The sequence below is a fragment of the Homo sapiens genome, chromosome 10, assembly GCF_000001405.40.
Source record: "Homo sapiens chromosome 10, GRCh38.p14 Primary Assembly".
NCBI classification, from domain to species: Eukaryota; Metazoa; Chordata; class Mammalia; order Primates; family Hominidae; genus Homo; species Homo sapiens.
Genome location: NC_000010.11, coordinates 99,383,907 through 99,398,748, shown reverse-complemented (window position 1 = coordinate 99,398,748; position 14,842 = coordinate 99,383,907). Strand labels below are relative to the sequence as shown.

Sequence of the window (14,842 nt, the reverse complement as noted above, 5' to 3'; positions counted from 1 at the left end):
TTCCATTTCCTCAGGTTGGTGGTATCTTAAAGGTACTAATTACTTAAGCAATAATTCACTAAAATTCTTTTTTTTTTTGAGACAGAGTCTCACTCTGTCACCCAGGCTGGAGTGCAGTGGTGTGATCTCGGCTCACTGCAACTTCCTCCTCTTGGGTTTCAAGCAATTCTCCTGCCTCAGCCTCCTGAGTAGCTGGGACCATAGGCACATGCCACCACGCCTGGCTAATTTTTGTATTTTTAGTAGAGACTGGGTCTCAGCATGTTGGCCAGGCTGGTCTCAAACTTCTGACCTCAGGTAATCCACCAGCCTCAGCCTCCTGAAGTGCTGGGATCACAGGCGTGAACCACTGTGCCCAGCCAAATTCACTAAAATTCTATCAATGGATTTGCCAAATAGCAAAACTGCTTTAGAGACTGCTGTATAAAGGAAGTACAGGTAGTCTCTTCTTACCCACATGTGATGCATTTCTGAAAACATGGAAAAACTACTGCATCTGAGAGAAAGCTGAGAAATGAACAGAAGTCTGATGGTGCCAGGTCAGAGAGGTCTGTGTCATTTCTCAGCTCATTGGTTAATTCACACAGGATTGATCAGGTACCTCATGCATGGGGCCTTACCCAATGTATTGTAAAAATGAAATGTCAAAGGGAGGCTGCCGCGGGTACTCAATGCAAGTCCAGGTTAGGGAAGAACTAAAGGAAGCACTTCATAGCCAGCATTTCATATCGCTGTCCGTCTGATGGTTGTTTTTAGGTGATAGGGGTGTCCTGGTGGATATAATGTATAAGGCTTGGTTGGAAGGCAATCTCAGATTAAAATTCCCATCAGTAGTAGCCATATTGAATTTTCTGGGGATTCAAAGGTGAACTAGTAAGAGTACTTTCCAGAATCTAGTGAGCATATTTTTCTGTTTGTCAGTTGGACAAAATAGCGCCTTTTGTTTTGCTTCTCTCTGTTAAGGGGAAAGAAGTAAAGCTGTAATTGTCATATAATTGCTGAGCCTCCACTGCTTTAAGGATCCCCTCTGCTCTGATTATGTCTTCTTTTGGTTTTCAACAGCCAAGCAGGTTGAGTATCTGGTCAATGAAAAGCACATCTACCTGCTGCCAAGTGGTCGAATCAACGTGAGTGGCTTAACCACCAAAAATCTAGATTACGTGGCCACCTCCATCCATGAAGCAGTCACCAAAATCCAGTGAAGAAACACCACCCGTCCAGTACCACCAAAGTAGTTCTCTGTCATGTGTGTTCCCTGCCTGCACAAACCTACATGTACATACCATGGATTAGAGACACTTGCAGGACTGAAAGGCTGCTCTGGTGAGGCAGCCTCTGTTTAAACCGGCCCCACATGAAGAGAACATCCCTTGAGACGAATTTGGAGACTGGGATTAGAGCCTTTGGAGGTCAAAGCAAATTAAGATTTTTATTTAAGAATAAAAGAGTACTTTGATCATGAGACATAGGTATCTTGTCCCTCTCACTAAAAAGGAGTGTTGTGTGTGGCGGCCACGTGCTTCTATGTGGTGTTTGACTCTGTACAAATTCTAGTCCCAAAGATCAAGTTGTCTGAAGGAGCCAAAGTGTGAATGTGGGTGTCGGCTGCGGCATTAAATTCATCATCTCAACCCAGAGTGTCTGGTCTCCCTGCTCTTTCTGCATGGTTGTGTCCCTAGTCCTAAGCTTTGGTTCTTTAGGGTGACTGTGGTAAGAAGGATATTTAATCATGACATGCACGGACACGTACATATTTAACTGAAACAAGTTTTACCAAACAGTATTTACTCGTGATGTGCGTAGTGCATTCTGATATTTTTGAGCCATTCTATTGTGTTCTACTTCACCTAAAAAAATAAAATAAAAATGTTGATCAAGACATGGAGTTGATTTTATGACCACTAATGGGTTGTGACCCACAGTTTAAAATGAATGCTTTAGAGGGTTTTACTAGTGGCTAAAGGAAAAACTACAATGTGTTCTTACAGTATAGCTTCCTTCAGTGAACTCACCATATAACTCCCTGGTGATTTTGCGGGCTTGTCATTTGGAGGCCAGCTGTCTTATGTTACTTAAGAAACTGGACTTCTTGGACTGTGAGAGGAGATGACATCACTCAGGTTGATTATAGAACATCAGCCCGTTCCCTGCTGTCAGAGTCCCTCCTGGTTTATTGAAACAGAACCACAAAAACATACATCACAATTTCCAGAGTCCAAGGGCCGCTCCAAATGGCCATTTTGTAGAATTTGGTGGGGTTTGATGTTACTTAACACAAGAGGTCTATTAATTGGAGTTTTTAAGTATTTAAAGTTAATTCTTGTGATTTTAATAGGATCTGCCACTTTCTAGGACTCATTTGGGTTGTTAGAAAATCCTGCAGTCCTGAGGGATGACTGGGGCCTCAGAAGTCATCAAGTCCTGCCTCTCCGCCAGTGAAATAGTCTCTCCATATTGTCTCTGACTCATCCATTTCAACTGGTGGGGTGGTAGTGGTGATGGATTCTTTAAATACCTGGTGAGGCATCCCCTTCTGCTGGTGGGGCCTCTTAATTAAAAAAAAAGAGGCTCATTTACCTTTTGCTCACGGTAAAAGTTCATCTACCTTGAACCAGAATTTGATCTTTGTTCCACTCCCCTGCCCCTCCTTTCCTTCCTTTAAACCACAGATAGTAAATCTACTGGCACTTCTAATCTACCACCTTTCAAATATTTGAAAGTAGCAGTTGTCATTCCTTGTTTACACTTTTCCACATGAACTGCCTCTCCCCCACCACTTTTGTTTCTGCACAGGATGTGGTTTCCAGATCCTTCCCTGTCTGGCTGGAGCCCCAGGAGTTCTTCAGAGGACACTCACTCTGCCAGTGTGTGGTTGGGCTGGTGGAAGTTCATGAGTGAATGTGATTAGATGCCCTCCCACCCATCTCTTCACAGCTTTCTGAACATATCAGTCTTTGTTCTCCTCCCAATGTAAAGATGCTTGTTGTTAGTAAGGGAAGGCAGCCAACAGAGAAGTCGAATGATTCTACCTTCTGTCAATCTGCCATTCTCTCCAAACGCTTTCAACCACTCATTCTCCATGGGGACGATACTGCCTCCATGGGGACGAAAATTGGCTCTCTGGGGCAAAAAAAAAAAAAGCCTGAAATACTAAAATGTTGCCTTCCAAAGTGCAATCCTACCTGACCATCTTATTAGTATTTAATTTCTCTTGTTAGGGAAAATTAAAATTTTCTCTTTAGGGGGCTGCCAAAACCATTAAAGATAAACACATCTTTAAATCTAAGTGACAGTACCAAAGTGCTCAAATGTTTTTAGCCTTGAAAAAAGCCCATCTCAATGGGAATCTGGCCTTCTTCTATTCCGACAGATATGTTGGTTGGTGTGGTTCCCACTGCGTTCACCTGAAAAAGGGCTGTGAGTTTGGGAAGCCGGCAGGACTCCTCAGGCCTCTGACATGCCAGTGAACTTCAGAGGTGGGATTGTTTCACCAATTTTGCTCACTCAAGAGCAGGGCACTCCAACCTCCAGGCTCTGCCAGTTCCCAGGTGTGTAACCGTGAGCAAGAAGACAGTAACCTTGCAGACAGTAACCCCTCCTCCACAGGGTGGTTGAGAAAGAAATGAGCTAATGGGTACTTAACAGAATACTTGGAACATAAAGCCCTTGGCAAAATAGTTGTTTCCATTATTTATTATTACCGTTAGTGAAATGAATAGCCTCTACTGAGGTTCCTGAGAAGAATCTTAAGAGGTTTTGGCATAGGCCCCTGATCCTCCTGTTTGCTTTGAGAAATGAGTAGTAGGTGTCAGATTTCAGCCTTCCTTCCACACAGGTATTATATGCCCAAACACATCTTCCCACCTGCCTGGCTGTTCCCTCCCTCCAGCATCGGCTTAAAACTGACCAACAGGCCTGGCCCATTCTTGTGTTCCGTTCCCTAGCCTTTGGTTGCAAACTGCCAGAGTCATGCCACTTGGACTCCTTTCTGAAGGTTCTGCAGAAGCGAGCTAGTGTGACCAACATTCTGTCTCAGGGGCTTGTCTGGGTTTAGCCCCCAAGACCCTGAATTTGGACGGCACCCAGCACAGCACCTCACCCATCACATGGGTTCAGCAAATGCCAGCCCTTCTCACTGTCGTCTTAGTTCCTTCCTCGTCTTTATGCATACTGGCTTCTCATTTGGGTTTTACTTCTCATTTCTGGCATTCACTCCTGCAAAATCTTACCATCTGGCCTCCCAAAGTAGTGTGCCAAGGCTTCCCCGTGACCTCACCGCAGCCTCACACCTGGCCCGGAGCGGCATGCCTCTTCAGGCAGGTGGTGCACAGGTGAGATCATCACACGTGGGCATCACTCAACCTGCATCTCAAATGAAGCCACGTCAGAAGATTCCAGGGGCAAGGAAAACAGCCACATTCCAGGAAAGGCATTTTCATTTTATTTAAAAATTATTTACAATTTATTAAGCCTTCATAAATGCTTTATTTTAAAATCTTTTTTTTAAACTTTTTTTTTAACCTGAAGAAAATCTTTGTGGGGTGGGGGTATATAGGGAGGGGAGTGGTGACAGGCTCCATAGGGATTTTGCAAAGGGATGGGTGTAATGCAACAGCAGTGGCTTGAGCCTGGTGGCCTCAGGTGATGAAGACCAGCCAGGCAGGCACCCCGGGGCCAGTGGTCAGCTGGGCAAGAAGCCTGCATGATGGTAGTTCTTGTTCAAAACTCACCATTTATTGGTTTGGGTCTAAGTACCCAACATTGAGGGCTGACACTTCGCCTGTTCCTACCAGGCAAGAGCAGGTGTTGGGACTGGATGACTGTGAAGTTATCTACGAGAAGTCATGCACTGCTGAGCCTCAGGCCAGGCCAGGCAAGGGGTGTGGTGAAGTCAATAATCATTGCTGGAAAAGGCTTCTCTAGCTCCAAAGTCTTTACTTCCACACGCTGTGGCCCTCCTGTCTGCAACACCTGCTCTGGGTTGTTGGGGAAGAGGGGACAAAGTTATGTGGGGGTGTTGGTTGTACAATACTCTAGGGTGTGCCGAGAATTTCTGAGGACTTCCACTTCTTGGTGGGTGCCAGCCTTCCCCATCAATTGATGGACATTTGAAAAGACCACTTATGATTAAAAACCTGTCTCGAACTGCCCAGTATCCACTTCACTCTGCATTGCAGAAACGCTGGGCTGAAAGTTCCACTATTTAAAATAGTAGTGTTTTTTTTTGTTTGTCTGTTTGTTTTAACTCTTTGTAGGTCTGAGACCTTTGAGAACCTTATGAAAGCTTTAATGCTCTGGAAAAAACATACAAGAATAAATACATTAAATACTGACAGTTTTAGGGGTTTCATAGACCCTCTGAAGTCCAACTATGGACCCCCTGGGGTGATGGACCCCAAGTTAAGAACCCCTGAGTTAACAGTTCCTGTGGGTAAGCATTTTCTTTTGAGATGCAGATAACCCAGAGGAATGATCAGTCTCCCTCCTGCCTGTGAATGACTCAATGGGTGTGGGGAGGTGGGAGGGAGGGTTTTGGAGGAAGGGGAGGGAAGCTGGATGGTATACTACGGGGAAAGGTTTGGGAATGGTTTGGAGATTTAGCAGACAGCACTCGATCAATGAGTTCAGTGAGTACTTGACTGAGAACATCTAAAGAGTAGGAGACAGATCAGAAAGGGAGATAGTTATTCTGAAGACAAATTTCACTTACTTCCAAGTTTTCCCTAAGGCTGGCTGTGGTTGCTTTTCTTTTCTTTTCTCTTTCTTTCTTTCTTTTTTTTTTTTGCGGGGGGAGACAGAGTCTCGCTCTGTTGCCTAGGATGAAGTGCAGTGGTGTGATCTCAGCTCACTGCAACCTCTGCCTCCCAGGTTCAAGCGATTCTCCTGCCTCAGCCTCCCGAGTAGCTGGGACTACATGCCCAGGAGAGATGGGGTTTCACCATGTTGGCCAGGCTGGTCTCAAACTCCTGACTTCAAGTGATCCACCCGCCTCGGTCTTCCAAACTGTTGGGATTACAGGTGTGAGCCACCGCGCCCGGCTTTGCGGTTGCTTTTCAGAACTGTTTTATTCTTGGAAGCAGGTATGCGCGGTCACTCTGCCATCTGGTGGTTATGCTTGGAATTGCACCTGCCCCAACTTCAGGAGAAAAACCAGAGATCCAGTAAGTTCTTGGAATAAAGTACACTCAGCTGATCTGCTAGGGTGTAGTAAGGGGGTGGGAGAAGGACAAATGCATGAAAAAGAAGAATGATTCTTCAACATTCCTGTGTAACTCCCACTGAAGTCCCATGAGATTATGTATCTTTCTTGGCTGACCTGGGCACTCTTTGGTTTGTCATGGCTAAACTTGCTTTCAGCACTTACAGTTTTTCCATGTAAGTTTTGTTTGTTTTTTGCTTTGATTTGCACTTAAGACCTGAAGTTCCATCTCTGGCTCCCAGTTGGGTCTCTCTGCTCCCTGTTCCTTCTCTTCCAGAGCAGAATTATTGATCGATTGAAGACTGCTGATTGGGAGCCAAAACAGATGTGTCCCTGGTAAAAACAGTGACTTGAGGTTCCATCTCACATTCTTTCCATTCCAGCTGAGACATACTGCCCCAGGCTGCTGGAACCCTTATCTAACAGGAAACCAGTCACTAACAGTTTTCTGTGCTGTAATGTCAATCACGCGCCAACATGGCTGAGTCCCACTTCTTTAAAGCTCTGGGGGAAATTCTTGGTCCATCCCCTGAACTAATCTTCAGACCTCCTACTCCAGCCTCCCATGTGCCTGTCTGCCAATGGCACCTTCTGAGCCAAGCTATGCATGAAATGTGTTAGAAAGTTAACATTTTGTTCTGGAGGAAAGAATGGCAAGTTCCAAGACGATAGGTCTCCTATGGCATCAGGGGACCCAAAGAACAAAGAAGAGCATCAGGGGTCCCAGAGTGGCATTGTCAGCTTGCAGTCAGACATCTCTTTTCCAGTCCCAGACTATGCTGTGGAAAAGACCATTTCTAGCATGTTCTATCAGAGGCACCTCCTTCTGTTATGGCCATGTCAAGGTTCTGAGTCGAACTGGAGGTAACGAGGGAAAATCTGCCAAACTGACAGCTAGGGGTGAAGAGATGGAAGGGAAGGCAGAACATTCTGTCACCTGTGGGAGGCCTTGGGGGAAGCAGATGATGGGAGGGTGGATTCTCCCCCAAAGCTCTGGAATTTCACACACCCAGTGAATGCTGGCTTTGCCCTGTCATGTGATCAGAGGTGTTAAATTGGAGTTGTCCTCAGAGGTTCTCTCTCCTTCTGGTGACCTCTTCCTTTTTTGGCCACCTGAAAAAAACAAGTTGCAAGTATCAGCCTGTAACACTGGAGGAACATTCATAATTGCTTGGCAGTCTGAGTTCTTTTCAAAACAGAAGCAGAAATGGAGACAAAGCCCTTGACAGCTTGGTTAGAACTAACCGGCATTGTATGCTGGTGCTGATATTGGCATATTTACATCTTGAAAGATTAGGACGTACTTTCCACATAAGATGCCATCTCTGAAAAGTCACAAACCCAGGCTGGTGCCTGGAATTGAGACTTCCTGGAGGGGACTGAGTAAAGCCCATGTAACACCTCAGGCCCATGCCTCCTGCGCCCCTTGGGGGCCAGCCCCTCTGACTGCCAGACACCCTCAGAGAGGACCAATCTCATAGACTTTGATGTCCCATGAATCAGGGTTGGTGGCTGTAGCTGCAAGCCATTTCCAGGGACCTGCGTTCTCTAGCTCTGAAGCAACCTCCCTTCTGCAGTGGGGCAGGTGGGCATAATTACATAGTTGTCCTCAAGGATGAGAGAGCAATCTGTTCCCAGGTCTGTTTTTAGGAAGGAATATCTTCACCTTGTTCTCTCCACCATTGACTTCCATCTGTGGAGGAGATTGCTCTCTTTCTATTGAGTCTCCTGGACACCAATTCTTTAAAGGACTAGACAGAAAATATTAGAGGCCTGTGGGCCATATGGTCTCTGTCACAATTACTCGACTCTGACATTGTTGCCATAGATAACAAATGGATCTGTCTGTGATCCAATAAGTCCTTACTTACAAAAACAAGTAAAGGAGGGAGGTCAGAATTGACCTGTGGGCATGGTGTGCAGACTTCTGTCCTAGAGGACAAACAACTGAATGGGACAGATCCCAAAACTATCAAGGGTGCAGTGCTGGCCCAACCCCTTCTGCGGATTTCCACAATTGTACCTCATTAGGGTTTCTAAGAGGAGTCCATGGCTCCTCCCCCAAGAGGAAGATGCTAACATGCTTTTCCTACTAACCATCAGCAGGGTGGCTCTCATTTGGGTGAAGAACTAGCTACTCACTCAAGGTTCTCAGCAGCTTCTTGCCCACGTTTTCCTCAAAATCGCTACTGCAGGGGCTGGTCTCTGTATCCAGGTTGATGTTACAACATTCACTATCTGATGCTGAGAAAGGAAAGGAGAGAACTCAAGTTGTCTCAACCTACACACTCAGGCATCAAGAGAGGGTGATTCTGAGTGATGACATCCCTCAGCAAGTGAAGTTTAAGACGTGAGCCAAGGTGAGGGTGGTGTAACAAGGCAGGGACGCCCAGGGAAGTACAGGGTGTCATTAGTTAGCAAGAGGCATTTTAGTGCCACAAAAGGAACAAAAAGATGGAGAACAGGAGCCGGAATCCAACGATCCATGCAAAGTCAGAAATCATTCCCTCTTCTCAAACACTGTTTGGCAAGAGAGAGGGTTTAGAGAACAATGTGTTCTCCACCCAGTCTATTTGCCAGACTAAAAGCACACGTGAGGATAGGTGGAGGTCTCCTTGGTATATTTGCACAAACCCTGGAAAGCCACAGGGTTCAACAACAATGCCCCTGTCTTCTCCCGCAGGACTCAATGGGAATTCAAAGAGTTACAGAATCTGAGAGCCCAGAAGGGGCCAAGCCTTACCACCAATGCAAATAAAAACCTAAGGCAGAGCGGTGTGTTGGAAATGGCACTGCACTGAAGCCATGAGGCTGAGCCTGCTTCTGATGCAGTTTTTGGACTTGAGCAAGTTATTTCCCTTCTCTAGGCCTCCAGGGTCCTCAAATGTCACAGGACGAGGGTGGACTAGATGATCTCCAAGACCACTCCATCGCCTTCATTCTTATTCCTTTGTTACATTTTCTTGCTATGTGCTTTAGCTACTAGATTTGGTGTTGGGGGCAGAAAAGGAACATCAGTTCTAAATTCAGGTCCTGGAACAGTGACTATGTATGTCCCAGATTTTCTGGGTCAGCCACAAGTTCAAACATATTGTCTTGTTGACTTTAAATTTTTTTTTTTTTTTTTTTTTTTGAGATGGAATCTCACTCTGTCACCCAGGCTAGAGTGCAATGGCGCCATCTCGCCTCACTGCAACCTCAGCTTCCCAGGTTCAAGCGATTCTCCTGCCTCAGCCTTCCGAGTAGCTGGGATTACAGGCACCCACCACCACACCCGGCTAATTTTTGTTTTTTTTAGTAGAGACAGGGTTTCACCATGTTGGTCAGACTGGTCTCGAACCCCTAGCCTTAGGTGATCCGCCTGCCTGGGCCTCCCAAAGTGCTGGGATTACAGGCATGAGCCACCGTGCCCGGCCAACTTTAAAAATCTTGGAGCACTTTTTCAGGTTGTTGCTCTGGACTTGAGAGGTCTTATACTATGGACTGAAGTAGGTCTGACAGGTCGGGTGGGGGAACTGCTGGCTTGGGTGCAGGCATAGGGGGCTACTGAAAGCTTGGGGAATACATCTTAGTGAGGCAAACACAGAAGCTTCTCAAGACTGCTGGGACCCTGGGAGCTCAGAGCAACACCACTGTCAAGGCAGAAGTGTTCAGTGTCTCAGAGGGAGGTGATATGGTCTTAGACCTCAGGAAAAGTCTTATAGGCTACACCTTTGGTCAAAACCACAGCTAGTTAGAATGATGGCTGACATCAGTTTCCTAATCTGTAAGGTAGGCCTAATAATAGCTATGTAACATTTATAAAGCATGGTACTGAACACTGTAATATGCCTTTTATGTATGTTATCTCATTTATACTCAAAGCTACTTTATAAGATAGCTGTCATAATTTATACCTATTAACATAAGGATACTTATCCATTCAGATAAAAAAAACTGAGTCTTAGGTTCAATAACTTGCCTAAAATTGCATAACTCCTAAACGAAGGAGCCAGGGTCTGAATCCAGGCAGAAACCCAACTCCTAATACTGCCCTACACAGTTTTCCTAGGAGAATGAATCAGACAGGGCCTGATGCATGGTAGATGCTCAGTAAATGTTTCCTTTCCCTGGCTGTGTAAGGAGGTCGGAGGTTTAACGCACGGGCTGCGGTCCCAGGGCTCCCCTCAGCCAGCTTTCCCTGGGCCATCCCAGTGCCCAAAGGCAATGATCTCCCTTGCTGCACTGGGCCCAGCTGGCCTCCCTGACCTGCTCTCGTGGGAACGGCTGCAGGAGACAGCGTGAGCTGCTGTGTGCTGTGCTCCTCGAAGTCAGTCATTTCTTCCTGGGTGAAGGCCAGCTCCTCCATCCTCAGGTACACTACCTCGCTGGGGCTTCTCAGCCCGTCTGAGCGGCTGCCTGGGGAGGACAGTGAGTGCATCACCTCTCTGCTTTGGAGAAGACCCAGGGCTCAGGTGGTGTGAGCCCTGGGAAGGGCTAGAAGAGGAAGGCAGGGTCATCCTCACCCCACACCAGCCCAGCCTGCCCGTCTGCCCAGCTGACTTACACGGCAGGCTGTTCCTGTTGTTGAGGAGCGTGATGGCGGGGTCATCCTTAGGGGTCTGGGGTGTGCCCCGGGTTGTGGGGGCCTTAGTGGAGTCCCCGTCTGTGAAGGCCTCCATGTCAGGGGACTGAGGTGAGCTGTCCATGTGGCAGGCAGTGAGTGCGTTCTGATATTGCTGCCGTGTGATCTGGAAGGAAGAGGGCAGGAGCTTAGGAGCAGCTAGGCAGAGACCACCCGGATGCAGCCAGCCTTCCCAGGCTCGGGGGCAGCCTCGCTGGGGTGCTTGGAACCCTCGGCCTCTGAGGCCTGAGATCCACGAATGGGGGCCTTACCCACGCTGTAGCAGTCCAGCAGGGACAGTGAGGCGGCCCTTTGCTGGTCTGCCACCAGCTCCCACTGTTCATTTTTATTGGCACCTGGAAGAGCCAAGCCTTCTGAGACCCTGGAGAGGATGGAGGGCATCTTCTGAGAGCAGGGTGGTTGCCCATGGAGAAGTTTAAAACACCCATTTATACTATTGCCAAAGGCCCAAAGGGTCAGTCGGGGGTGACTTGGTGAGAATAAGGTAGGACTCCAGCAGGGAAGCTCTCATGCCCTAGGTCTCAGTGTCGGGAAGCTGGAGGCTAAGGCCTGAGAGAACACAGGCATTTCTGATTTGGACTAAGCCCATCCCTGGATGTAGGGTCATGCTCCTATGCTGGCTGGGACCACAGCAGGGAGGTTTCCCAGCTGTCTCCTCAAATCACAGGAGTCAGACTTGTGACTTTCCTGATGTGTCAAACACCCACAACTGAAGGCATCCGGAGGGTCAGGCTGCAGCCAGACCAGACAGGAGTCTCCACGATTCCAGGCAGGAAAAATATGGATCAAATATCTCTTCTAAAAGGCAGGAGGGTGTCTCTGTCACCCCTGTTCTCTGGGTGTACATAACAGACTGGCACTGTGAATCCTTGCTAGCAGTGAAAACAGACTAGGTTGTGTGCCACCCAGTACAGGAATGTGAAACCACTCATCAGCGGCTGGCACTGGGGGAAGAAGGGAAATGGTACATGGCATAATATCCTTCCCAATCATACCATCTCCTAAAGCGTTTTCATCCCTCCTTCACTGCATTAGCGCTAGTGAACGGACAAAACCACAAATTCTGCTCATTTTGCCTTCTCTTTCCTTTGGGGCAGAATTGGTATTACACGTTGAAAGAGAAAAGATTTCTGCTGGAAATAGGAGAGGGGATGGTTAAGGCTGACATGTTGGGAAAGAGAGTAGGCTTGAAGTTGGCTTTGTATCCGGCAAGGTCTCAACAGTGGCTCCTTGTCAACTACTGACAAGACGCATTATTTTACTGGACACGATCAATCCTTTCTTTAACCAACTTCAGGATATTTTGCAAGAGAACCAAGCAAATTCTAAGCACAACCAATCGAATCACAAAACACCAGTTAAGAATACGTGCCTTTTTGCAGAGCATATGGGACACATACATGCAGAGATTCCAGGCTTCTAGTTATACTACTGCCCATTTGAGTGGGCAAATAGAGTTTTCTCTTGATGGTTTAAATCAGTGATTCTCAAACCTCAGCATCAGAATTATCTGAAGGACTTGTTAAAACAAGATTTTTGGGTTTAACTCTCAGAGTTTCTAATTTACTAGGTCTGGGGTGGAGACTGAGAATTTGCATTTTTAGCAAGTTCCTGTGTTCCTGGTGCTGCTAGTCTGGAGATCACACTTTGAGAACTGCTGACTTAAGACCTAGTTAAAATTAGTTACAGGTACTACTCAGGTTTTGGTTTTTTTCTTCTAAAGGATTTTACAGGACAAAGCAGCAAAGTGTTAACAACTGGCTTCGATATTTTTCAGGTCAAAATGGTATATTCCATGCTTTATGGCATGGAACCACAGGTCTCCACTTAGCATTTATCCAAAGTCTTCAATCGATTCAATGTTCTTGTTGAAAACACCTGACTTTTGCAATTCCCTCTGTTGGGAAGTGAGAAGTCACGTTCCAAAATTTCCCCCAAAGATGAGGAAATTTGGCTCTAACACCAAAGGATGGGAAAATTCCCTAAATGACACTTGGTAAGCCCAGTAAAGCAGTTGATCTTACTCTGTTTGGGTTCTTTAGTTATTTAGATTTGGCTTCTAGTTTAGTCAAAGGCCAAATGTCCCTTCACCTAAGAAATATGGCAGGAAACACAGTGCCAAGAACTGAAGTTCAAGTCCCAATTTTGCCACTTTCAAGCTGGGAGACCTTGGCCAAATACATATACATTTTTAATCAGCCAATGGGCAAATGAATACACTGGCCACATTGTTAACCTCTCTGATCTTATAAAAGAGGCCCAGAGATAATGAGATAACATGAGTGAATCCATTATATGAAACTGTTAGGAATGGTTGTTTAAAACATGCCCACATGCATGTCTCACCATTTGACTTTATAATGGGCATACATTTCAAAGACAGCTGTCAAGCTTACCATCTCATTATGTCTAAATTGCTGATGCCACACACAGGGTGGAGGTGGGGGAAGGAGCAGTGTCCTCTCTGCCCCCAAAGTCAGTGTGACTGGAGATTCTGTGAAAGCAAGACTAGGTCTTGGAAAAATAAATCCTTAATCAAGAAAATAAAGCAAAAGGGAAAGTAGGGGAAGGAAGGCAATTCCGACTATGGACAGTGGAGAAGCGGGACAGAAGGAAAGGGACAGTGAGTGAAGAAAGGAGAGGAGGAAGAGAGAAGGAAGGGGCTGTTTCAGTAGGCTTTGAAATGGATTTCCTGGCTCAGGGCCCCTATAAGTTGGTAGACTGGCTGCGTCCCCCAGGCTGGAAGTCTCTTGGGAATGACTACTGTTGCAAAATGCTCTATATTATTTAACTAATTTATTTTTGGAAAAGTTCTGCCCAGATTTTATCTTCAGTGAGTTGTACCACTCTTTTTTTAATTTTTTTTTTTTTTTGAGATGGAGTCTCGCTCTGTCTTGCCCAGGCTGGAGTGCAGTGGTGCAACCTTTGCCTCCCAGATTCAAGCAATTCTCGTTTCAGGCTCCTGAGTAGATGGGACTATAGGTGCACACCACGACGCCCAGCTTATTTTTTTGTATTTTTAATAGATACGGGGTTTCACCATATTGGTCAGGCTGATTTTGAACTACCGACCTCAGGTGACATCACCCTCCTCAGCCTCCCAAAGTGCTGGGATTACAGGTGTTAGCCACTGCACCCGGCCTCTTTTTGTTTTTAAAAAACAATGATAAGCCCCTCTTGTTACCTGGAATCAAGGATCCAGGAACTCTAACCCTCTTTTTAAGCATTGTCAGGGAGGAAAGGACGGGAAGAAAGTATTTTTGGTAACAATACTGAGTGAATGGGACACACTTCCTCGTGAGGTACCGAGTTCCTCATCATTGGAGGCATTCACACAGATGTTAAGCCACCACTTGTCAGTGATGCTAAAGAGAAGATTCAGACGGCCACACTAGTGGGAAGAAGCACGGCAGTGTATGGCAGTGAGGGTGGGGAGGGGGAGGGGCTGGAGAGGGTCTGCACTGTTGGTGGGTGTTTATATAAAAGGAAAGGTACCACCCAATGGCTAAATCCTCTATGTGACTCACAGCCTTAACAGCCTTGCTTTCTTTCACACAGCTCTCTTTTTAAAAAAAATTTTTTTTTAAATCATGAACTCCTGCCATGTCAATGTGTTGCCTTAAAAGAAATTGTTGACAAGGTGCCAATGTATCCAGGGAAGCAACTCTGCTCTGCCTCTCCCAGAGGCATTTCTAGGTTCGGGTATCACTTCTTGTCAGTTCCTTCCCCTTGTTCAACAACTCATGACAACTTATTTTAATCTAGCGTAATACTGTTGAAGAGAAATGTAACGTGAGTCCCGTCGGTAATTCAAAGTTTTCTAGTAGTCACATTTTAAAAAGTAAAAACAAGTTAATTTTAATAACATATTTCATTTAACCCAATATATCCAAAATAATTTCACATCATCATGTGATTAGTTAAAGTGATTAGTGAGGAATTTTACATTCTTTTTCGCACTGGTCTTGAAATACAATGTGTATTTTGCACTTATAGCACATCAGTTGGAAAGAGACACA

General features: G+C 46.1%; 2 protein-coding genes across 7 annotated transcripts in view; one reads left to right on the top strand and one right to left on the bottom strand.

Moving 5' to 3' along the window:
• GOT1 (glutamic-oxaloacetic transaminase 1) overlaps positions 1-1,879 on the top strand; it is a 33,755-nt gene extending 31,876 nt beyond the window's left edge. Inside the window, exon 9 of the mRNA NM_002079.3 lies at positions 1,063-1,879. Within this exon, the coding sequence (NP_002070.1) occupies positions 1,063-1,202 (140 nt within the window). The 3' untranslated portion in view covers positions 1,203-1,879. The remainder of the gene's footprint in view (positions 1-1,062) is intronic.
• CNNM1 (cyclin and CBS domain divalent metal cation transport mediator 1) overlaps positions 4,419-14,842 on the bottom strand; it is a 64,975-nt gene continuing 54,551 nt past the window's right edge. For 2 of the 6 annotated variants that reach the window (NM_001345887.2, NM_020348.3), the window contains 4 exons: positions 10,746-10,929; positions 10,448-10,597; positions 8,342-8,443; positions 4,419-7,312 (listed from right to left, as the gene is read on the bottom strand). In NM_001345887.2, coding sequence (NP_001332816.1) covers positions 7,233-7,312; positions 8,342-8,443; positions 10,448-10,597; positions 10,746-10,929 — 516 coding nt within the window. In that variant the 3' untranslated portion in view covers positions 4,419-7,232. Of the gene's footprint in view, positions 7,313-8,341; positions 8,444-10,447; positions 10,598-10,745; positions 10,930-14,842 lie in introns of those variants that run through there. The other 4 variants (NM_001345889.2, NM_001345888.2, NR_144311.2 and 1 more) reach the window with 3 other exon arrangements.